Here is a 24,470-nt window from a genome sequence, read left to right as displayed (position 1 = left end):
TCCAGGTTGTTGGGGTGGGAGCTGCCGGATGAGCTGCTGCGGCCCTCGGGGCGCAGGACCACACCATCTGCGCAGCCTGCACCCTCGCGGCCCGGTAAACTTGACAGTTTCTTATAGAGGTAAGTATAGTATTAACAGACAATCTAGGAACCATAGAAAGTGGAAAACCTGTACACACTGCTGAGACCAGCTCGGTCTGGGAGACCCTAACCCAGAGGCGCTAGAGGAATTAAAGACACACACAGAAATATAGAGGTGTGAAGTGGGAAATGAGGGGTCTCACAGCCTTCACAGCCGAGAGCCCCGAACAGAGATTTACCCACGTATTTATTAGCAGCAAGCCAGTCATTAGCATGGTTTCTGTAGATATTAGGTTAACTGAAAGTATCCCTTATGGGAAACAAAGGGATGGGCCGAATTAAAGAAATAGGTTGGGCTAGTTAACTGCAGCGGGAACATGCCCTTAAGGCATAAATTGCTCATGCTATTGTTTGTGGCTTAAGAATGTCTTTAAGTGGTTTTCCACCCTGGGCGGGCCAGCTGCTCCTTGCCCTCATTCCCGTAAACCCACCACCTTCCAGCATGGGTGTTAGGGCCATCATGAACATGTCACAGTGCTGCAGAGATTTTGTTTATGGCCAGTTTTGGGGCCAGTTTATGGCCGGATTTTGGGGGGCTTGCTCCCAACACACACAAAAACTGGCACACACATTTTCACAGGAGCTTTATTCATAATTGCCAGACATTAGAAGTAATTATGATGTCTTTCAAAAGATGAGTGGATAAACAAACTGTGGTACATTCATGCAATGGAGTATCATTCGACAACAAAATGAAATGTTGTCAAACTATGAAAAACATGGAGGAATCTTAAATGCATATTACTACGTGAAAGAAGCCGGTTTGAAAAGCTATCATATTATCCTAGCTATATGACATTCGAGAAAAACCAAGACAAAGAAAACAAAGAGATCAGTTGTGACCAATGATTCAGGGGAAGAGGAAGATTGATAGGAAGGGGGAAGATTGCTGAGTAGGTAGGGCACAGGGGATTTTTGTCTGCAAAAATGTACACCCATGTACATAAGCAGGGCTCTGAATTTTTTAAACTTTTCAAATTTTGTGGCAGGGCCTATTGAATGGGTTGAGGGAGACCTTCCTGATTGATACCTACTAATGTATATACAAATTTGAGACAGATATTTTGAGGGAGAGTGGAATTCAGGTACAACATACCTATTACCCCAGAAAGGTGTCAAGTGGAAGTAAAAAAAAAAAAAAAGAGGTGTGTGAGGTAAAAAATTAAATTAAATTCTAAATGAGGACATGGAGGTTCTTGTGGAAAGTTTTTTCTTGTATATATATATATATATATATATATATATATATATATATATATATACACACACACACACACACACACTATGTTTTCTTTATCCACTTGTTCATCAATGAAATGAACATTTAGCTTGTTTTCATATTTTGGCTATTGTGAACATGGGAGGAAATGAGATATTTGTAAGACTAACTCAAACATTGCATTAAATGGTCCATATTTAATATAAAGAAATCAAGATAATTAATATATACGTCTGGCTTTTCAGATAATGGATGTAAGCCCTGTCCTGAAAGGTGGCAATGGAGCAAAAGACCAGTAATATAAAATAATTCAGGAATCCATAACATGGCAAGACAGCAAGGATAAAAATTTTTAGAGGATCTCTAAAATTTCTACCTTACTCAATATAGAGAATAAGGAATTGGTAAATATGCAGGTCTCCTGTCTTTTGTTAAAATTTACAGAGGTGAGGTGAGAAGGTAAGGGTAAGTTAAAAAAATTATTGAGTACCTAATAATAAAATACTATGCTCTCAGGCGAGTCTATAAATGATCACATTTAATTCTTCCTTTGTGTGCAAACAACAGCCTTACAAGTCTGGTAATATCATTCCTAATTTTTAGATATGAAACCTAGGCTTTAGAGGATAAGAAACTTGATTTAGATCACACAGCCTGGTTTTGCATATTGAATAGGATAACAAAAAGAGACAGAGGAAATATATACTTCCTCATTTAAATACTTATTTTTGTCTTTCATTATTGAATTCCAAATCTAACACATCATTCTGGAAAAGAGAATCTAGGGAAATAATAGTGTACAAGAAGAAGAAAATAAAATATAAACCAAAAAAGAGAATAATTTAAAAAATACATCGTATCTTGAATTTATAATTGTTCTAAGGTGGATACATTGTTATTGTATAAAGTTAAGGTTTACACAACAACTCACCTGCCTTCTGACAATTCTGACAATCAAATGCAATACTTTGGAAAGTTTTAGGAGAGCACGTTTCATTAGGGAATCAAATTTTCAGTCTAGGTAAATGAAAAGTATGCTGAAAGAAGAGAATGTACGACTGATCCGGGGAAGAAGCTTTAAAAAGTAAACACTTAATGAGATTTTTATTTATATTGGATTTAATAGAGTTTGGAGGCAGAGGAAAAGGCAGGATAAGAAAACAACTTCCTAACTTGTGCATTTTTTTTCAATGTCCATCCACAGCACAGAAGCCGTGGTGGTGTCATGGAATATTGTCAATTTCGGTTACATTTCATCATGGTCAAGTCAACTCCAGGAGGCAGCATCATGGACGATTTGGCTTATGTTCTGCTTTTGTCTTCTACAGAACCTTGTGTCTCACTGTTGTCTCCTTCCTGGCTGGGGTTATCACATGGCATATCCAACTGTGAGTGTGGGAAGATGGCATAATCCTCTGACTGTGTCAGAGTCTTAGGAAATTGTGACTGTTATAAGATGGCACAATCTCTTCCCTGATGTGTGTCAAGTTCTTAGAAAATTGTGGTGAGCTATTCCTTTTTCTTTTGGCAGGTTTTTGTCTTGGTGTTTACCAAGTGATCCGAGATAGAGAGAGGGAAAGAGGAGAGAGAGAGAGGGAGAGAAGGAGAGAGAGCGGGGGAGAGAGAGAGAGAGAAAGAGAGACAGAGAGAGACAGCGAGATGGGGAAAAAGAGAAAGGGAGAGAGAGGAGACAGGGAGAGAGGGACAGAAAGAAACGGAAGGAAAGAAGGAAGGAGGAAGGGAGGGAGGGAGGGAGGGAAGGCAGGCAGGCAGGCAGGCAGGCAGTTTTATTGCATGATCTGTGCCCTTAACCACAATGATTTGCTTCCATGGAATGAATTTCCTATTTAGCCCTCTGATTACCTAGAGGTAACCTCATACAGATGATCTATAATGAAAGTGATTGGAATACAGTAAGCTTATTTTTTTGCCAGGATTATAATACCTGGTATGATACTAGTTTACATCTCTTACAAACTACCTAAGACTAAATTTATAAGTTCTGGTCTATTATTAAGTGAGGTCTATGCAATTTCAAATACTGGGAAAATGCATGTACTGAAATATGCATTACTAGAAAATTAAAAATTACTCATTTTAAAAAATGAGTTGGAATTCCTGTTAGAATTCTTATAACCAGCATGCCCTTATATCCCTTAGGAGACATTTTTTGGTAATTTCCATTCCTTTTATGATTAAAAATGTAGGTTTTTTTTTTGTCTACTGTATTAGTCTGTTCTCATGCTGCTTAGAAAGACATACCCGAGACTGGATAATTTATAAAGGAAAGAGGTTTAATTGACTCACAGTTCCACATGGCTGGGGAGGCCTCACAATCATGGTGGAAGGCAAAGGAGAAGCAAAGTCATGTCTTGCATGGTGGCAGGGGAACTCTCCTTTGTAAAACCATCAGAACTCATGAGACTTATTCACTATCAGGAGAACAGCACAGAAAAAACTCGCCCCCATGATTCTATTACCTCTCACCAGGTCCTTCCCATGACACGTGGAGATTCTGGGAGCTATAATTCAAGATGAGATTTGGATGGGGACACAGCCAAACCATATCAGCTATGCGAATCTATAATTTTCTCTTTTTAAATTTTTTATTTACTTTAAGTCCTGGGATACATGTGCAGAACCTGCAGGTTTGTTACATAGGTATACATGTGCCATGGTGGTTTGCTGCACCTATCAACCTGTCATCTAGGTTTTAAGCCCCGCATGCATTAGGTATTTGTCCTAATGCTCTCCCTCCCCTTGCCCCTCATCCCCTCAACAGGCCCCAGTGTGTGATGTTCCCCTCCCTGTGTCCATGTATTCTCATTGTTCAACTCCCACTTATGAGTGAGAATATGCAGTGTTTGCTTTTCAGTTCCTGTGTTAGTTTGCTGAGAATGATAGTTTCCAGCTTCGTCCATGTCCCTGCAAAGGACATGAACTTATTCTTTTTTATGGCTGCATAGTATTCCATGGTGTATATGTGCCACATTTTCTTTACCCAGTCTACCATTGGTGGACATTTGGGTTGGTTCCAAAGTTTTGCTATTGTAAATAGTGCTGCAATAATTTTCTCTTAAAGTCTGCTTTCTCTTCTAGCAAAAGAGCCAGAGGAAAAGCTATACTTATACTTCACCAGCCTCCAAAATTCCCAAAGTTAAGACACAGACTTAAGGACTGCCATAAGCTACATTTCTGTCAACTGAATTATAATCCTATTGTCTTCTAACAGGAATATAGGAAAGAAATAAAGATAAATGTTAATTCTGTAACATAGTCATGTAAACATAGCCTGCAACATATACAACTTTCTTTTGCTCCTATGATAAATTCAAATGTGCAATATACCACAAATGGGGGCCTAGATCTGAGGAATCAAGCTTTCATAGAGCAATAAAAGCGTTTATTTTGTTCATTTCTAACTAACAACCTAAAATATAAAGTTCTTAGAAACAAATAGTTTAAATTAATAAAATGAATATGCCACATTTTATTTTTATTCTATTCACATGTCAATGGACATTGAGGTTGCTTTCGTGTGTTGGCTATTGTGTACAGTGCTGCAATAAACATAGGAGTTCAGGCATCTCTTTGAAATTGCAATTTCAATTTCTTTGGATATATACCCAGTCATGGGATTGCTAGGTCATATGGTACATGCCATGGAATATTATTTAGCCTTAAAAAAGAAAGAAATCCTGCCATTGCAGCAACATGAATAAATACGGAGGATGTTATGCTAAGTGAAACAAGCCAGATACAGAAGGACAAATGCTGCATGATACCATTTATATGAGGAACTTCAAATAACCAAACTCATAGAAGCAGATAGTAGAATGGTGGTTGCCAGGGGTTACAGGAGAGGGAAATGAGGAGGTATTAGCCAAAGGGTAGAAAGTTCAGTTACACAAGATGAATAAGTCCTACAGATCTACTGTACAGCGTAGTGCCTATAGACAACAATACTATATTGTATATTTAGAATTTTCTAAGAGTGTAAATCTTACGTTGTGTTTTTATCACACAAAAATATTAACAATAAAGAGGGTGGGAGGACTTTTCAAGATAATGCCTATGTTTATGGTATACATTGTGGTGATGGTTTATTCATGTGTGTATACTTATCTACAAATATTAAGTTGCATATATTACGTATGTACAGCTTTTACATGTCAATTATACCCAATAAAGTGGTTTTTAAAGAAGAAATGTTTATGAATGAGGCAGGCAAGTAGGGATGGCATGCCTAGTGGCTTCAAATCAGTCAACATCAGACCAGCAACAGGGGCTATGGGGGGAGATAGCAATACATAAGGCAAGAAAATTGCTGAGGACGGATTTAATTAGGAAAAGTAATAAAATGTATACTTAAAACAAGATGACACCTGGGGTGGGGTCACCATTTATGGGAAGTGTCATTGCATACCATCTTCTGTGTTCTGATAGCATGCTGAAATCTATTATTTATTATATATAATAAATCTATATTCTGTTGCATTGCATTGTCTCACAGCTATGATTCTGTGAAAAGATAATAGGGCTCTGGCATGTATTGGACCTGGTTCAGAACCTAACTTCACCCTTTCCGGCTGTAAAACCTTAGCCAAGCTTTGTTCTAAATCAAGCTTTAGTTTCCACATGTATGGAATGATCTCAGATGAGATCACATATTGAATTTGTCAAGTTCCTGCCATGTTAGGGCCATCTTAAAAATTGTAGGCCCCTTTGCCCCTAGCTTTGAGCTTATTGTGGTTAAGGGTCCTGTCATGCTGATCTTCATATCTATCCCAAGGGTTTGCATATCGACTAGCACTTGGTTGACACACACACAAAATCTATTGTTAAATAAGTGAATAATTTGCAGCTGCCAGTCGCACCTGTCGAAATATCAGTTGTGCATTTGGTAGACCCAGATAAAGAGAGACCAGAAATCTGGTTTTCAGTCCAATTCACCTTCCTGGGACTCATTTCCCACCCTCCTTGATGCATTTTTTGGCTCTGTAAGTTTTGAGAGGTATTCCTTCCCAACTTGTCCTATTTAGACACAAAAGAGCTTCAAAATAAAGACAGAAACAATCAAATACTGTCTTCTTGCACTGGAAATTGAAGGTCAGTACTTGAAGAACAAGAGAGAATGGAGCCCCCTAGAAATTACTCTACTCAAAATACAACTTACAGATCATATGGGCTGGACAAGATTGGTGAAGCCAACATCAATTCACCCATAGAGAGTAATTTTTCTCAGAAACAAATTCTGTCTAGAAACAAAGAAAGCTGGAGAACTGAAAATAATGGCCTTGGTAACTATAACAGTAACAATTAGTGTTTCCCTACAATTTCCAGTGCTATGCTAAGGAATCAAAAAGGTGAAAGGGTCTGGACCCTATCCTTGTCCACCTCGTTTCTGGCCTCCACATCACAAAGGGCACAGAAGATACAAAAATAGTCCATGGGCAATATAGTGCCTGTCTCAGGTAATTACCTAGGGCTACCTGCCATCTACTATTCACCCTGTTGCTCCCCTCCATGATTTCTCTTCCCTGATGAGCTGATGCTCAGCCGCTGAACCAACTTTCATTATTGTGTTTGTATTTAAAAACTGTTGCCTTTCAGTTACACTGAGATAATTTTCCCAAGGAAAATATCATTGGTGGTGAAAACCAAGCTAAGCACCCAATGCAGGAATGTTCTTGGGACTGGAAGGATCATGCAAATCTGCTCTCTAAGGGGAAGCAGAGGATGGTAAATGTAAGAACAGCTAAACTTAACTGGGTCTTCACTGTACCATGTGGGTTATCTCTCTTTTTGTTTTCTTCACAAAAATCTCAGAGGATGGGCACGAGTTTTGTCACCCTATTATGAAAAGGGTTTACATAATTTAAGAGCCCTGTCTGCTATGGTGTGAATGCTTGTACCCTCCAAAATTCACGTTGTAATTTAATTACCATTATAATAGTTATTAAAGTGTGAAACTTTAAAGAAGTGATTGGCTGGGTGAGGCGGCTCACACCTGTAATCTCAACACTTTGGAAGGCCAAGGCAGGAGGATCACTTGAAGCCAGGAGTTCAAGAGCAGCCTGGTCAACATAGCAAGATCCCATTTCTACAAAAAATTTATTTTTGAAAAATAGTTGAACATGGTGGTGCCCACCTGTGGTACCTACCAGTTCCTCAAAAGACTGAGGCAGGAGGATTAATTGAGCCCAGGAGTTCAAGGTTGCAGTGAACCGTGATCGCACCACTGCAGTCCAGCCTGGGTGACAGAGCAAGACTCTGTCTCTAAATATAAAAACAAACAAAGAGATCATTAAGGGGCACAGCCCTCATGGGTGGAATTAATGCTGTTATAAAAGGATGAGTTCCATCCCCTTTTGCCTCTTGGCCATTCTGCCCTCTGCCACATGAGGATCCCACCTTCCTCCGTTCCCAAGGTTACAGTTGCCTTCTTAAAGAAGAGAATGGCCTCATCAAGCACCAAACCTGCTGGTGCCTTTAACTTACACTTCCCAACTTCTAGAACTGTGAGCCAAGAAATAGATAGAATACTCAGTCTAAGGCATTCTGTTATAGCAGCGCAAAACAGACTGAGACATTGTCTAAAATATACAGCACTTACATTGAGAATAAAAACATAACCCATGGCTGTCTGATTTAAAAAATTTATTGTCTTAAGCACCAAGCTGTACTGCTTCCTAATAAGGGGTTGGGATACTTCCGCCTGCTTGAAAGCTGTGACATATTTTGAAAGAACTGAGAGGAGATGTGTTTTATTATATTTATATTATTATATACCCTCAAAAAGAGAGAGAGAAAGAGAAAGAGAGAGAGAAAGGAAGGAAAGAATGAAGGAAGAAAGGAGGAAGGGAGGGAGGGAGGCAGGGAAAGGAAGGAAGGAAGGAAAGAAAGAAGGAAGGAAGTTTAGGAAGTCAGACAGACAGGTGTATTACTTGTAGTTACTTGTTCAGTAAAACTAATATACCTGTGGAATAAAAAATTATATTTGCTTGAGGACCACATTGTTAATTTTGGCCACCTATTTATAATCTGACTCTTGATTTCAGTCCTCAGCTTCACAGTGGATTCTCATTCCAAAAGTGTATCATTTCCCCTTCTTCCCAATTTGACTCCATCATACCTACCCTGAGGAAAACAATGTTACTAATGTGTCTAAATCCTTCTCCAGGTGCATACAAATGTATACAAGTATGATTATATATGCTTGTATGCAGCCTCGAATATACCATCAATCCTAGTTTCAGGTAATCATCATTATTGTCCCTGTCTCAACCATGTGTAATCATCACCAATGGAGCTAGTTCACCCGTTTTCTTAATATATAATGGAGGGTTGGCTATTTTACTGAAAATAGGGGCCATTGGGCCAACCTCAGTACAAGGATTTTCAACCTTAGCTTCAGATTGGAATCATGTAGGAAATTTAAATTTTTTTAATAGCCCAGCTACACTTCTCATCAATGAAATCAGCATCTTAAGAGGTGGGACAATCTTAGGCATCAGTATTTCCTCAAAGCTCCCCAGTATAATTTCAGTGTGCAGCAAAATTGAGAACTATTTTCAGAGAGCTAAACAGATCAAACTTCATATCACTTGTCCATCCCAACCATGCCAATTAATACCCTCAGTAAGGGCTTGTTGGCTAAGATTACAACAGTGAAATAGTTGAGAACTGTCACTATATCTGTCCCAATTCTGATCTGTCCTGACCTAACGTGGTCTGCACAAACCAAACCAAATTTGCTAACGTTGCAGAAAGAGCCATCCAGTTTGAAGATGGTTCCAGCACCTTCGCCTCTGGGCCTATTTGCTCAGGGAGTTAGTATTGAGGTTATTTATCCAAACATTGCCACTCAGGCTGTGTTAATAAAAATCACCTGTGTAGTTTGAGAAACTTACAGATTCTCCATTTCTGTCTTCCAATCATTCTGATTTTATAGATCTGACGCGTGGCCCAAATATCTGTGCCTTTAAGGGACTATCCATGTAAATCTGATGTGAAGCCATGTTTGGAACCCATGTTAAATTCTCACATTGCTATAAAGAAATACTCAAGACTGGGTAATTTATAAAGAAAAAAGTTTAATTGGCTCACAGTTCTTCAGGCGGTACAGGAAGAATGATGCTGGAAACTGCTGGGCTTCTGGGGAGGCCTCAGGAAACTTACAGTCATGGTGGAAGATGAAGGAGGGGTGGGTACTTCACACGGCTGGAGCAGGAGCAGGAGAGAGGGTGTGGGGTGGGGTTGGTGGGGATGCTACACACTTTTAAACAACCGGATCTTGCGAGAACTCGCTATCATGAGAACAGCACCAAGAAGATGGTGCTAAGTCATTCATGAGAAATCTGCTCCCATAACCCAATCACCTCCCACCAGGCCCCACAACCAGCATTGGGGATTACATCTTGACATGTGATTTGGTAAGGACACAGATCCAAACCATATCAATGGTCTTTCCCCTAAAAATATACCATTTGTATATACCTGTATATATAAATAAAATATCTCAGGGATTTTGACTGGAGAGGGTGTAGGGGCAGTAGGAGAGGAAGAAAGAAAGAAAAAGAAAGAGATGAAAATTTCTGGAATCAAGTCCTGTCTCATAAGCTAAGTTATCAGAATCAAAGGATGAAGTATTCTGACACAAAGGGCTAGTGAATCTTGAGAACTCTGGATTTATGCATCTACTGTAGAGGTCGTCAGGGATAATATGATGATAGCAGGGCAGCAGGGAGGGAGCTCTTAGTAATAGGAGCTGATCAAGATCCAGAGCACTGTAAGGTCAGAAACAGAAATTTTCTTTTAATGAGTATAAAAGAGTTTACATGAAATGAGAATTAAAATATACAAGATACCAGAAAAAAAAACCTGTAACTTCTTAATAGGAACAAAATAACCAACTAAGGTATTTTAATTATTAAAAGTAGATTTTTTTAATTAGAAATAGAGGAATGAAAGAACTTATTTTTCTCATGGGAATAAAACGAAACCCAAATGTGTGAGAGTCAGAGGCACAGATTTTGACCTTTAAGAAATAATTTTATCTTTGTGAGAATGCCAGGGGCAAACTGCTAAAGAGAAATGGAAGAATCAAGTTTCTTCTTTAATCCATGTGTATATAACTTATGTTTGAATCCCGTATAAGAACTAAGAAACACTGTTTACTTGAACTATGATAATTGTCTGTATTTAAAAAGTTGTGCTTAAATATATTGTTTGTAATTTTTACTAAATTTTCACACTTGACATTTTTCCTTTGTTCTAGAGTTTCTGTTGGTGCCTATATAAAACATTGATTAGTTGATAATTTTAAATATTTAGAGAATAAGAAGCTACTAGATGGTATGTATGAAGTGGTAGTTTCAAAGGACTGTCAAAGTATTGAAATGCATCTAACTTTGAATTTAGATTATATCAATTTTCCAGTAAATTCTAGATTTCTGATCTAGCAAAATCAGTATCAAAGGCTAATTTATCATTATTTTCTTCCTATATATAGCTATGGAACTATGTGAAGATAAATGGAAAACTACATCCTTTACCAGTACTCTGAAATCAGCAATTTTGTTCCAGGAAAAATCTTGAACCCTAGATTTACAATATTTAGCATCTAGTGTGCAGGAACACTGACAAACTGTGATTCAGGAAAGGTCTAAATAATTAAAGATAATGGTTCTTCTATTTTGATGTCTTCAAACAGTTTATTAGGACTTTTCTGAGGGAAACAAAATATCAATTGTAAGAGAATATATTTTTATAATAATACCCAGATTACAAAATCAATAACATCAATATTACTAATTTAAATAAATGACAAACACATAAATATTGGCCAGGGGCAGTGGCTCACACCTGTAATCCCAGGATTTTGGGAGGCTGAGGCTGGCAGATAGCTTGAGCCTAGGTGTTTGAGACCAGCCTGGGCAACATGGTGAAACCTCGTCTCTACAAAAAAATACAAAAATTAGCTGAGCATGGTGTTGCATGCCTGTGGTCCCAGGTATTCGGGAGGCTGAGGTGGGAGGGATCGATTGAGCCCAGGAGATTGAGGCTGCAGTGAGCCAATCACATCACAATACTACAGCCTAGGCAACAGAGTGAGACAGTGTCTCAAAAAAAAGTAAATATTAAATTATTATGCCTAGATTATAAATTATCTAAATTTTAAAGATTAATAAGAACGCTTATTTTCATAGGGTTGTTGGAGAAGAAAAGCTATTTTGCAAGTGCAGGGCGACACTTAGCTGGTTCACAGTGGTACAAACATTTGCTAAAATAAAATATTTCCAAATCAGTTGATACAGTGCTGCAGCCCCAGCTACCAGGACCCTTAGCCTGGGATCCCCCAGACCTCCACATGACCCAGCAACTATCACAACAGGCATCTCTTGGACCTTGTTCTAGTGCTGTGGCCTGTGTTTTTAAATATTTAAATATCACCCTAGTTTTTAAATATTTAAATATCACCCTAGTGCACACGTGACAGTATAATAATAATGAAAGAAAGGAGTCTTTATTTGAGAAAGCAAAGAAATTCAGTGAAATGATTCTGAGACAATCATAGGGCCATAGTATGGCTATTCCCCTTTGTCCCCAGGTATAATTTTAAGACCGAATAATAACATCAAATCAGAAGACGTCAGACAAGGAACTGGAGAATGTTCTGTTAAACAAGTTCATTTGTCTGATAATGTAAATACACAGTCATTTTAAAAGCTGGTTTGGCTCTGGTACCGTAGTTTCCTCTTTCCTCATATGAGCTTACTCACAAGTCTCTTACTTCTTGGAGAATTTGGAAGAAGCATACTAATCCAAATCCTCAGTCTTCACTGGGGCAGCTGTCTTCTCGCAAATCCAAAAAATTTCAGCACTACAGCGAGAAATATAAATATTTCCTTTTTGAAAATAAGCACATCCTTTGGATCCATTGATCTGGTCAAGTTCTTTAGTACTAAATCTGAAAATTAATTTAAAATTAATTATAAATTCTGTATTTGAAACGTGATCACTATTTAGTGCCCTCAGTTGCTCTTACAGCCAATGTCATGTATCTGAATATGGAGAGACTTCTGCCTCCACAAAGCTTCAAAATCTGAAGCTGCCTAAAGCTGGCACAAAATCTGCCCAGAGCTGGCACATCTGGGTTCTTTATTTTAAGTTAATCATAATCCCAGGTAGAATTCTTTAAGAGAAATACTTAAATCCTGGACTGAGAATTTGTATTTCCTTCATAAATATGTAATTCCATTAATGAAATCTAATCAGTTCAGCTTATATTAGAAGTACTTGAAGTTCTTTGGGACCTTATGAAGAAAAACATAAAAATAAAATCACATTCTGTTGTAAAAAGTTATCACATTTTATTATGCACAAATATAATTTTTCACATAGTTATACATATGTGGTGGGTAAAAAGAGAACAAGACAGACGTTAAAAGAGGAAATGATTGACTATATAGATATGGTTCTGACAATAGTATTCATTTCCTCTGCTAAGAAATTGATGTTAATCCTGAAATAATGTCTTTAGAAAATTATACTTGTCAGATCTAAATTTTCTTTGTGCCCAACATTGTTTTTTTCTAAATGACCTGCATTACACTGCCATATTCTTTGCTTGCTTCAGGGCTAGGCTTACTAAATCTTAGCCTTGGCCTTTACTCAGTAGTCAAGGAAATGGCTATGCAATCTGGAAGCTCAGTCTCTCTAACCTGTGTTTGACATGCTGGCTTGTCTGACAGCTGCATGTCTCAGGGGCCAGGGTCTGTAGGTTCCAAACCCTGCTGTGGGGGCCACCTCCTCCACACTTTGATTAAGAGTGAGTAGAGAGGCCAAGAATGATTAAAATCCCTTTGGGAGAAGGGACACATCTTAGATTCCAACATGAAAACTGAATGTGTTTACATGATGTCATAGTACTACTCCTGGAAACCCTCAGTCTAGTAGCAACACCTCAGATTAATATTAATCAGTTCATACCCAATATTGCTCTTGTCACAAAAAAGTAACTGTCACTTTTTTTGTTTGTGTATTACTCTGCATGTGCTTTTTGTCATTATTATTAGTGTGAAACCAAACTAATTGACTTGATATGATTAATAATGGTGATTAGAGAATGGGGGATTAGTGTTTGAGTAGAAATAGCCATGACAAAACATTGGGAAATGGATGAAGATAAAGTGTATCCAGGGAGAAAATAATAGACCTACCATTGTTTGTGATTTAAGGAACTGCTGAGTCACAGCTGAAGCATGGCATCTTTGACAGAAGATGAGTGATTATTATTCAGTTTAAGAAAACGTTGACAACATGCTTTAAAGAGTGAAACAGGAGGGAGGGGGGTGGATAATGATTTGTTGGGGGAGGAAGGTAGATAAAAAGCCATTATGAATACAAATATTCTGTTAGATAGAAGAAGTAAGACCTAGTGTTTCATAGATTATTAGGGTGAATACAATTAACAATAATCTACTGTACATTTCACAATAATGAGAAAATAATAATTTGAATGCTCCTAGCATAAAGAAAAGATAAATATTTAAAGTGATCGATATCCCAATTCCACTTATTTGATCTTTACACACTATCTGAATGTATCAAATTATCACATATACCCCAAAACATATACATCTCTTATGTATCAATAAAAAGTTTAAAAATCCATTAAGATGCCAAAGATCTTAAATTTTATCTAATAGAAAAATACTATTATATTTAAAATATTAATACAGTTGTTTCATTTAAATGTAGTTATGATGAGAGGTGTTCCTCAAAATTTTTTGTTTTATAGTCTGTGAAAGAATTTAGCAAACCTAATATCCCCTTACACATTTTTGTTGACGTCTATTTTTTCATAACTTTAAATAGTTAAAAAAATTGAAATTTTCCAAGTGTTATATATTCTATTTGTCCTTTAAATAGTTTCATCCAAACCCTGAAGTGGAAGGTTTAGTTCATTTTAATTCATAAAAGACACTTGCCGTATATTGTAATTGGCAAGTCCTCAACATGACACTAATTGTTGAACTAATCAGTCAATTCAGTCTTACTTTTTGTTAGAAAATGGTTGACAGTTATTTAGTATAAATAAATGTGTTGATATGTGTTCTTATGACCAGCAGCACCCTTTTGGATTGTAGGTGCTGGAGAGTCAGAATAGCTGAGTGACTGAGTGCACAATCCCTAAAGTGCAATTTATGAGCTGAGTGACCTCAGGCAAGTTACTTAATCTCTCTATTATAATATTTCTACCTATAAAATGGGAATATAACTGCTTTCTTCAAGGGTTAGTATTTATAAAATACTTTGAATGTAGTATTAGGTGTGTGTGTGTGTTAAATAAACACATTTCTACCAAAAGATAAAATTCAGTGCCTTGCTATAAATTTGTCACAGAGATGAAATGAACTATACCTCCTTTCAATATTTGTTACTGGAGCTCTTTTCTCAGTATGTTGTACTCCTCTTTTTATGTCTGTATTTATAATTCTCACAATCATTATTAATTTTCCCAGGATTCCATGGAAAGCTTGTGTTTACCCTCAATAGTTAGAGACGTACAAGGATGGAGAGGGAACAGAGCCATCTTCCCAGAACCAACTTCTGCCAGAGGAGTCCCATGATAATCCCAGCCAAAAGAACGAAAACATGAGTAATGGCTGTGACATAAGAAAATCCTAAGAGAGAAAACAGAGAAAAAGTTTTACGTGAGCGCCACATTCCAGTTTGCAGAGTTAAGATAGATGAGGACATTCATTAAATTCATGTATTAATTCTAATTCAAGATGCACTGAATTTCCATCATGTGAATCAGATGTTTTATTTATTTCTCTCTCATTGTATGGATAATGTCTATAACTAGAGAATGAGACTCAATCCTACCTTTTCTTCCAAACTGTCTATCTTCACTAGGGTGGAGTTCTTGTCTATGCAGTCCTTTCTACTGTTAGCCCAGGTTTTCTCCTCATTTGTTGTAAAATAGTAGCAACTATTTTGGTACCATTGCCACATCTTAGGACATGGATTACATCTGTGGTCTGAAAAGGAAATTATACCCAATAATATAAACTGAAGACTCTAGAGTGACTGGAGAAGGCTTTGAAACAAAATCATGTAATTGAACAATAGGGACTGAGAGCCTGCACCCTGAAAGCATACTGCTTTAGAAGCCTCTGAAAAAAAAGTGACCCCTGGTTATGGGTTGGGGCAACAGGGATTCTCTTTTCATGGCTTAGTCTTCTGACCTCAGAATTACCAGCTATGCCTTTAAGCTTTCAGAGCAACATGATCACCTAGAAATAGTTAATAAAATGAGGGGTTGAAGTATCCAGATTGATATCATTCCAAGATACTTCCCAAATTTGCCTGTGGTTTCAAAAATATTAAATGAATTTGTATATTTCCTTGCTGTGTGTAAATTTAGTGCAACATCATTAAGGTTCACTGGATGACATAACTCTCTCAATACTCTTAGGTGGTACATGTGATCAACTTAGACCAGGATAACATATGCCATCTGACTGGTCAGCAGGACTAAGTCTGATTACCTGAAGTATGAATGATTAGCTCTTGGCACAGTTTGATGGCCATTTGTTCCTGCCTCTTCAGTACACTGGAGATCTGTGACTTGAGAAATTCCTCCTCCATGGACAAGTTGTTGGAGTTGCCCAGTTGCTGGGATAAGTTATCCTGCTGCTGTTGGATGGTTTTCTGAAGTTGACTCAATTTCTCTGAATCTGAGTTAATGTCATTAGATATCTGCAAAACTCCAAGACATGACAGGAGACAAGTTCATATATTCTTCTATTCTTATAACTGTAGATAATTCTCGTGACAGAAACATTTCTTAATTGTTCAAGATTTATTAGTAGCTCTTAGTATTTGAGGTATCATGAAAGAAACAAACCAGATGCCTTTCTATTCCAAATTATTTATAGTTCTTTATAATTTTATTTACATTTTTATTATTGCACTATATTAAAATAATGATTTAATAATGATATATTTCTGACATCACATCTAAGGAAGGGCCAGTCATTCTGCCACTCATTTTCATGAAATTGTTTTATTTTTGTTTTATTTTATTTGGAGATAGATGATGTAATTGTTGTTTTAATGAAAACAGCATTCTTTGGGACAATGGATATCTCAAACTCTGCAGATGACCTGAGATGCTTGTTTACCAAAAGAAAAGAAAAAGCAGATCTTAATGGCATATCAGACCATTTCTCGTCATGGGTCCATGAAATATGCCCTTTTCATAAGCATTTAAGGTGCTTCATCAGCACAACAAATTTAAGAACCACTGCACCAAAAGCACTAAATTTTAGAAAAGAAATGTCACCCTTCTATATCGAACCAATGGACGTACGTTATTGCATTTTCACTTAATTTTTAAATATACATTATTGTAGAAGATCGGCTGCTAATCCTCATACTGATTGGCTCCAGAATATCTGTTACTGCTGCTTGAACATCATATTCCTTTTCAAAAGAGCAAGGTACATCATTAGTCTCTTTTTATGTTGGCAAAGATATGTCCAAATCCTAATTAACCATTAAATCCTAAAAAATTATCCATTAAATCATTAAAAAGAAATGAATGTAGCAGAGGAGATGTTAGTATCATTCAGCAAATTAACTTTCTTGACTGTGAGTTCCCTGTAAGCGAATACCATGCCAATTCACTACTCTGTATACCATATACTTAACAACCCTATAAAGTTTGTATTCTCAGGATGTTTTTCTCATTACTCAAGAACTCCCTACCATGTTCATCCCCAACTTCCCGAGGATGGGTCAGAATCAATAGAATGTTCCTTTGTGGCTGTGGTGCTTGAGAGTGGAGCTTCCATTGTCATGTGGAGATGGTTCAACTCTCTTACTTGGTAAGGTGTATCAGGCCACTCTTCCTCTTTGTTTATATGTCTTTCTCATTCATAGAAATCAGGCTGCTGCTGCTACTTGGAAGATTTCTCTCCACTAGAGAAGTTTCATGTAAGCAGACTGAACCTAGTCTAGTGTTAAGTCTTTCAGGTAAATAAAAATAGCAAGCACTTCCTTCAATACATATTTCTTGACTTTATTTCTCAGCATTGGAATGATAAGTGAATGTGTGTCTAGGCAGAAAAGAGGCTCTTTATTCTAATGAATAACTGGAAACAAAGAGTCTTTGTCTAAGTCCAGTTTAGCTTATCAAGATAAAACAATGAATTTAGAACCAAATCCTGATAATGTCTTTTGCCGGTTTTTTGGGAAGATATGACGAATAGGAGAGATATGAGACAGCAGAAAAGTATCAGACGATTCAGGATGCTAGGACCCATCTACAATCCAAGCTGAAAGTACATGGTTTACAATATGTTTTCTAGTTGCCTTTGTTGGGTTTGATGCTGATATACTTACACATCATCCCCAATGTCACCAGCCCAATCAGCAACATCAGGCAAAGAGTTACCAGACCCAGAGCAGCATGACGCCAAATGGGAGATGGAGCTGGATGCCCTGGAGAAAGCCAAAAGAGCAATCAGCACACAGAACTGCTTTGTGCTTGTTTCACTTTGGTTTGTTTATTTCTCCCACTTAGGGAGCTTCCCGATACTAACGTTTCTTTCTTGCTTCTTTAATGCCCTCATTTAGAAAATACCTAATATGAAGTGCAATGAGGGTGCCATCCTTGTTTCCCCTCCATTTCTCCACCGCTCTCCTTCACTTTAAGAGGAAGCTTCGTTGGGGGAGGGGGGAGGCATACCTTTAGGAGATATACCTAATGCTAAATGACGAGTTAATGGGTGCAGCACACCAGCATGGCACATGTATACATATGTAACTAACCTGCACATTGTGCACATGTACCCTAAAACTTAAAGTATAATAATAATAAAATAAAAAGGAAGCTTCTCCTAATTTCAAGGTTTTTGTTTTACATCATTGCCCACTTTTCTTCCTCAAGTTTATTGAATTCATAAATGAGAGATCTAAAAACTGCTTTTCTGGATGATGCTGACAGTAGGAGACACCTCAAGCTTTTGAGCTCAAAAGTCTCTATAAGGCACATGTTCTATCTGCCTTGTAAAAGTGGATTCGACTTTTTAAAGTATCTTTTACCTGTTAACAATAACTTATCTATTATTCATGCTATTTATCACCTAATAAATAATGAATGAATACTGAATGAAAGAAGGAAAGAATGTGCAGTCTAACCTACAAACAGCAGAATAGACCAGAAAGCCGTTAGCATCCTAGTCATTGTTGTTGTTTAAAATATCAATGGTTGTCATGTTTTCCTTAGCTTCATATCCCTTGATTTAGGTCCAAATAACATCTAGCGCAATGTTTTAGATACAGCATGACAGACTCTAGGTACACTGTGATATGCACCATATCCACACCTCCTTTTTCCTCACAGGTTAGAATTAGAATTAAAAAGTAAAACAAAACAAGGCAAAAATGTGTAACCACATTTATTAGACATATGCAAAGTCTATTCCCATCGGCTTTTTGTAAATATCCTTCCCTCAAATGTCATGCACCACACAAAATGTAAAGATAAATCTAGAGGGCAGGAGAAAGTAGTTCAGATGACTGACATGATTCAGGAGAACCTGGATAGTTAACATATCTGAAAATAAGAGATGTGGTCTTATATATTAAATCAGAGTCTTGACCATGGAGACTGCTATTTTTCCAATTAGGCATAAGAGAATGAGCTGAAGACCAGCACTGAGACTGGGCTTCCCCACATAGCAGTTGTGTGAGCTTGCTTAAATTATCTAATTTCTCTCACCCTCAGTTTTTTCATCTATGTAATGGAGAAAATACTAATATTCGAATATTATTGTGGATTTTCATTACAATTATATCTGTATATAATGTACATAAAATACTACCCAGATACTATTATTACTGGTTCAACATTACAAATTATGCTCGGATTTCAACTACCCTAAAATTTGAAAAAATACTGACAAAAGAAAAATTAGCTCTGATCTATTTCTAATCCACTCACTCATCTTCCAGTTTTCTCTTAAGTAACTTACATCATCTAAAAGAAAAACGTCCTCTACCTTCTCTATTTTAGAAGCCTCCAATCTGGTTTCTGAAAGAATATCCTCCTGGCATCTCTAACAAGGTATAAATATCAAGGATTATATTCATAAGAAGAAATCTCTAATTCCCCAAGCTCAATTTCTGGCATGTGCAGTCAGAATTTCTCTGACTGTGTGATATCACACAACTTTAAAGAGGTTCTGAAAGCCACATATTTTCACTTCAACCTTGGGAACACTCACTTTTCTAATACATTCCACAACTATTTGTCCCCATTTTGGAGATTTCACAGCACATGTCTTTAACGCCAGTATTAAAGCTGGCACCTCAAAGCATTTAACACCTGTCCACTCCCCCAAGGACACAGCTGGTCTTCTCTGAACTCCTACCTCTTTTTCTTAGGTTATTTCCATCTCGGTTATTCCTTGCTCCAGCAGAATCCTGAAATGTGAGTGTCGCGTAGGTCACTTCTTCAGACATTGTAGAAGAAAACGCTACTTTAAATTATCTAATTAATGTTTCAATATCTTGAGGCCTGGGAACAGCATGTGTTTTTCAAGGCTGGGAGCTTTGATGTAGTCACTCAGCTGACCCAGACACACTCTACTGCCCCTCTGTAAGAGAAGAATGACAATTTGTTTCTCTACAGAGAAAGTGAGAAAAGCCAAATATTCTCCTTAGAGATATTCTCATTAGAATGTTACAGATCTCAAACTGTCTGCTCTGTCAGAACTGTTTCTTGCTGTGCAGCAAAGAAGGGGTGCTTGAGGCAGAGCAGGAGGAACATGAGGGAATTCCCATGATCCTCGGGGTAGAGGATGCTCTGAATGTTTCAGAAAAGAGTCAGGTTGTCTTCTTTACATCTATCTAAGGCTAGCTAATCTGCCTGGAGACATTGGTTCTAGTTTATTCTCAGCCACATTAGATATTAAGCAGAGAGACACACATTAAGACAGAAAGAGCTGTGCCACACACCTGGCTGCTATTATAGAAAATTCAAGCGTGTGTGTGTGTGTGTGTGTGTGTGTGTGTGTGTGTGAGAGAGAGACAGAGAGAGACAGAGAGAGAGAGACAGAGAGAGAGAGACATGGTGTTGGTAATGGAGCATGGAGAAGAAACTGATAGCTACTTAGCTACTTAACGTGAGTATGAATGGGAGTGCCCTCTTCTGGCATGGTTGGGAAAGTTCCTAACAGAACAACAACCATGGGATAATCCTGCAGACAGCAAGGAATACACAGGACAAGATTTTAAAAAGATAACTACCGGAAGTTAATACATCTGTGGTAATTTGTTACAGCAGCAATATGTAGTTAATACAGAACCCAGGAAAATATGGGGGGGGAGCGCTATATATGAGGGACGAAATTAAGGAATCTCCTCTAAAGCTTTCCTTTGGGGAGAGGCAGAATATTAGATAACTGTACTTAGGGGAAGGATTGGGTATGAGTTTTGTGGTTTCAGATGAGTGGGGAGTGATCTAAAACTTCCAAGGTTCATATCTGTGTGGAGATTATCTTAGTCAAAGGTGTCCAGCGTGAGGTGCACTCACCCCACAGCTGTGAAGCAGATGCAGAAAGGCAATGTAAAAACTTTCTCTTTAGGAACGCTGTGCATGATCTCTAAACACCTAAATATACATATGTTACTTGTTCATGTTTTTTGTTTTTTTTTTTTTCAAATTGATGAAATAATCAAAAAAATGTTTGGAGGCTCTAAGTCATATATCAATAAAACTCCACTATCAAAAATATTGAAACAAATAATAAATCTATGCTTATGTTTACTATTCTAGTTGAATTCAGAAAAGGCAGAGACCATTGACATGAGGACCAGTTTAAATAGATGATTACAAAAATAAGAAATTAAGAATGGTTTTCTATCTCTGTTCTGGTCCGTGTCCGGAGTTGGTTCCTGCCGGTGGGTTCCTGGTCTCGCTGACTTCAAAAATGAAGCCGCGGACCTTTGCGGTGAGGGTTACACCTCTTAAAGATGGCACGGACCCAAAGACTGAGTGGTAGCAAGGTTTATTGTGAAGAGCAGGATGACAAACCTTCCACAGCATGGAAGGGGTCCCAAGCGGGTTGCTGCTGCTGGCTGGGGTGGCTAGCTTTTATTTCCTTACTGTCCCCTCCATGTTCCGTTTCTGTCGTATCAGACTGACCTTTTTTCAATCCTCACCGCAATTGGCTACTTTTAGAATCCTGCTGATTGGTGCGTTTTACAGAGCGCTGATCGGTGCGTTTTACGTGGCACTGATTGGTGCGTTTTACAATCCTCTTGTAAGACAGGAAAGTTCCCTGAGTCCCCACTCGATTCAGGAAGTCTGGCTGGCCTCACGTCTCATGACTTTCACCAGATTTTGCAAAAACTGGGTTTTCATCCTCATTTCCTTAATTCTTTCACATACCTTAAAGCTTCCTAACAAAGTATTAACTTCTCACTATCCATGAAATGATGCTTAGCTTGAACAATGATGAAGAATGTCACCTGATTCCTAATTATTTCTAAGAGAAGATTGATAACACTTCTCACATACTTTCTATTATTATGATCCAAAAAGCTATATCATCTATCATTATTAGTGTATGATCATATTAATTTAGACATTTCTTTATATACTTTTCTCCCTTAAAAACTTACAGCATTTCTGTAGCTTATTTTATCAGTTACACTATTTAAAAACTCACTTTGTTGCAGTCATTTACCAAATTCTCCTTATTTCTTCATTATTTTTTCAACTATCTTAAATCTTATTGATCTCTACTCCTATCATGATTATCATGTGATTTCGACATTCAGGTAGGTGATAATTCCAATACTATGGGCTCTCAGTTCTTGAATTTGCCTCCAATAACCTTACCCACACTCAGAAATCAGTTGCTCACACACAAAAATCAGTCACCCACTAGATGATCCTAGTTTAGAGCTAGGCTATTCACCGTAGTAATCACTAGGCATATAATTGCTATTTAAACTTAAATTAATTAAAATTAAATTAAATTTAAAATTTATTTCCTAGGTCACACTAGTCATACTTCAGGTACTTAACAGCCACAGGTGGCATTGGCTATGCAATTGGACAGTGCAGGTAAATAACATTTCCATTATTAGCAACGTGGCTATTGAACAGCACTGCACTAGAGTGCAGACAATTTCATTTCCAATATGAGAAATTCTTCCATGATCTGTTTCAGATATTTCACTCTCTGACCTCCACCTCCTATGTTTCCAGCCCACTCTCTCTGGGTATTCTACACTCTACAGCATTTCAGTGCCCACTGAGATAGCAACTTCACTGACCATGCCAACTTCTCATTGTTGTCAATCCCTCATGTCTCATTTCCTATTATACCCAGCATGCACCACTTACCAGGGCCAATTATAAAAATCGTTTTCTTACCCACAGCTACAACTTCCTTGCTTACCTCTTCATTCATCATAAGCATCTAGAAAATGCAGCTTGTTTAAATCCAACCCTACCTACTCTGTGCATACATTCAAGTAGCTGAATGTGATCATATTAACTGGTTTTATCTTACGTTTTTGAAATGTAACTTCTCAGCACTCTTACTAATCAATCTGTTCTGCAAATCTCCTAAAAGATTATTCCCAATCTCTTTTTCTTTCTCAGACTCTCAAATTTCTTTCTGTCTTCTCTTTCTACAAACTAAACGGATAACCTGGCTTTTCCATTAACATTATCTTAAGAAAAAAAAGAAATTCAGAAAGAAGTTTTCTCTGTTTCACTAGTCAAATATACCAAAACAGCTACATCAGTATATGAGGTAGTATTCTTTTCAACAGTGGTTGAATTGTACTACTCATCTAAGATCAATCTCCATCTGTATATTAAAATCCATCCACCTATCTCCTTAAAGATTTCAAGCTTGTAATTTTCCTTCTTTTTCTCTTTCTATCAATTTTTCCATTTTTTTCATCTCTACTTGTTCACTTATGTTCACTTCCAAAGATGATATAATATCTCCTATATTAAAACAAGCAGAAGCCATCTTTTGTTCACCGTAACACCATACACATGATCACTCCATTTCTCTAATTTTCTTAACAACAAATGGGTTCAAAAATTTCTCTATGATCTTCCCAAACCTATTCTAATTAGGCTTTTTCCTTCACTATTTCTTTTTTTTCTTTTTTTATTTTTATTCTTTCTTTTTTTTTATTGAGACAGAGTCTAGCTCTGTTGCCCAGGCTGGAGTGCAGTGGCGCGATCTCGGCTCACTGCAAGCTCCGCCTCCCAGGTTCATGCCATTCCCCTGCCTCAGCCTCCAGAGTAACTGGGACTACAGGCGCCTGCCACCCCGCCCGGCTAATTTTTTGTATTTTTAGTAGAGACGGGGTTTCACCGTGTTAGCCAGGATGGTCTCGATCTCCTGACCTCGTGATCTGTCCCCCTCGGCCTCCCAAAGTGCTGAGATTACAGGCGTGAGCCACCACGCCTGGCCCTTCTTTCACTATTTCTAAAAAACACTCCTGCTAAAGTCAACATTACCTCAGTATAAACACATCCAATGGCTAGTTCTCAGGATTCATCTTACACATCGTATAAACAGAATTTTAAATAACTGATTATTCACTTTTCGTGACAAACTTTCTTCTCCAAAATGCTTTGTTCCCTAGGACACCATTCTCTTGGTTTTCCTTTTGCTTCACTCACAACCCAATCCTCCCTCAGATTAACTGATTCCTCTTTAAATTAATTTAAGATGTTGTTGTGTCCTAGAGTTCAATTCTTGGTCTTCTTAAAAAAAAAACAAAAAACTTATCCTGGAATGAACTAAATTGAATAGTACCCAGAGAATGGCCAGAATGGGAATTAATTTCTTATAGATTCGTGCCTTGAGATAACAGCCATACATTGATAATGTCCAAAAATTGTTATCTCCATACCAGCGCTTGATCTACAGGACCACGTATCTGAATGGATTCTTGGCATATTCACTTTGATATATTATAGGATTTTCTAGCTTAACACATCAAAAAATGGGTACCTTTTCCCAATGTGTTTCTTCATCTTAACAAATGTA

The 24,470-nt window shown here is 37.5% G+C and overlaps 1 protein-coding gene and 1 long non-coding RNA gene across 13 annotated transcripts; one reads left to right on the top strand and one right to left on the bottom strand.

The window, feature by feature from the left end:
• Positions 1 to 38: 38 nt before the first annotated feature.
• LOC102724020 (uncharacterized) lies at positions 39 to 15,776 on the top strand. Of its 2 annotated transcripts, NR_169587.1 has the most exons (4): positions 39 to 119; positions 2,688 to 2,863; positions 14,514 to 14,589; positions 14,889 to 15,776. It is a non-coding gene; the product is annotated as an uncharacterized LOC102724020 (long non-coding RNA). The 2 variants fall into 2 exon arrangements; NR_120484.1 differs by lacking the exon at positions 14,514 to 14,589 and having other exon boundaries at positions 56 to 119; positions 2,564 to 2,747; positions 14,889 to 15,310.
• On the bottom strand, positions 11,862 to 24,453 carry CLEC12B (C-type lectin domain family 12 member B). 11 transcript variants are annotated; one of them, XM_047428832.1, is made up of 7 exons: positions 24,435 to 24,453; positions 19,812 to 19,863; positions 17,779 to 17,877; positions 15,921 to 16,139; positions 15,256 to 15,410; positions 14,935 to 15,050; positions 11,862 to 12,331 (listed from the first exon to the last, which is right to left on the bottom strand). In XM_047428832.1, the coding sequence occupies exons 3-7, from the start codon at positions 17,813 to 17,815 to the stop codon at positions 12,181 to 12,183; spliced, it is 678 nt and encodes a 225-aa protein (XP_047284788.1). In that variant the 5' UTR covers positions 17,816 to 17,877; positions 19,812 to 19,863; positions 24,435 to 24,453; the 3' UTR covers positions 11,862 to 12,180. The 11 variants fall into 11 exon arrangements, 10 of the variants coding, with proteins under 10 accessions (XP_047284788.1, XP_011518960.1, NP_001306170.1 ...); XM_011520658.3 differs by lacking the exon at positions 24,435 to 24,453 and adding an exon at positions 21,476 to 21,640; NR_135049.1 differs by lacking the exon at positions 24,435 to 24,453 and having other exon boundaries at positions 14,788 to 15,050; positions 19,812 to 20,035.

The sequence above is a fragment of the Homo sapiens genome, chromosome 12, assembly GCF_000001405.40.
Source record: "Homo sapiens chromosome 12, GRCh38.p14 Primary Assembly".
NCBI lineage: Eukaryota > Metazoa > Chordata > Mammalia > Primates > Hominidae > Homo > Homo sapiens.
The sequence above is the reverse complement of the archived record's forward strand: the minus strand, read 5'-3'. Positions and strand labels throughout refer to the sequence as shown.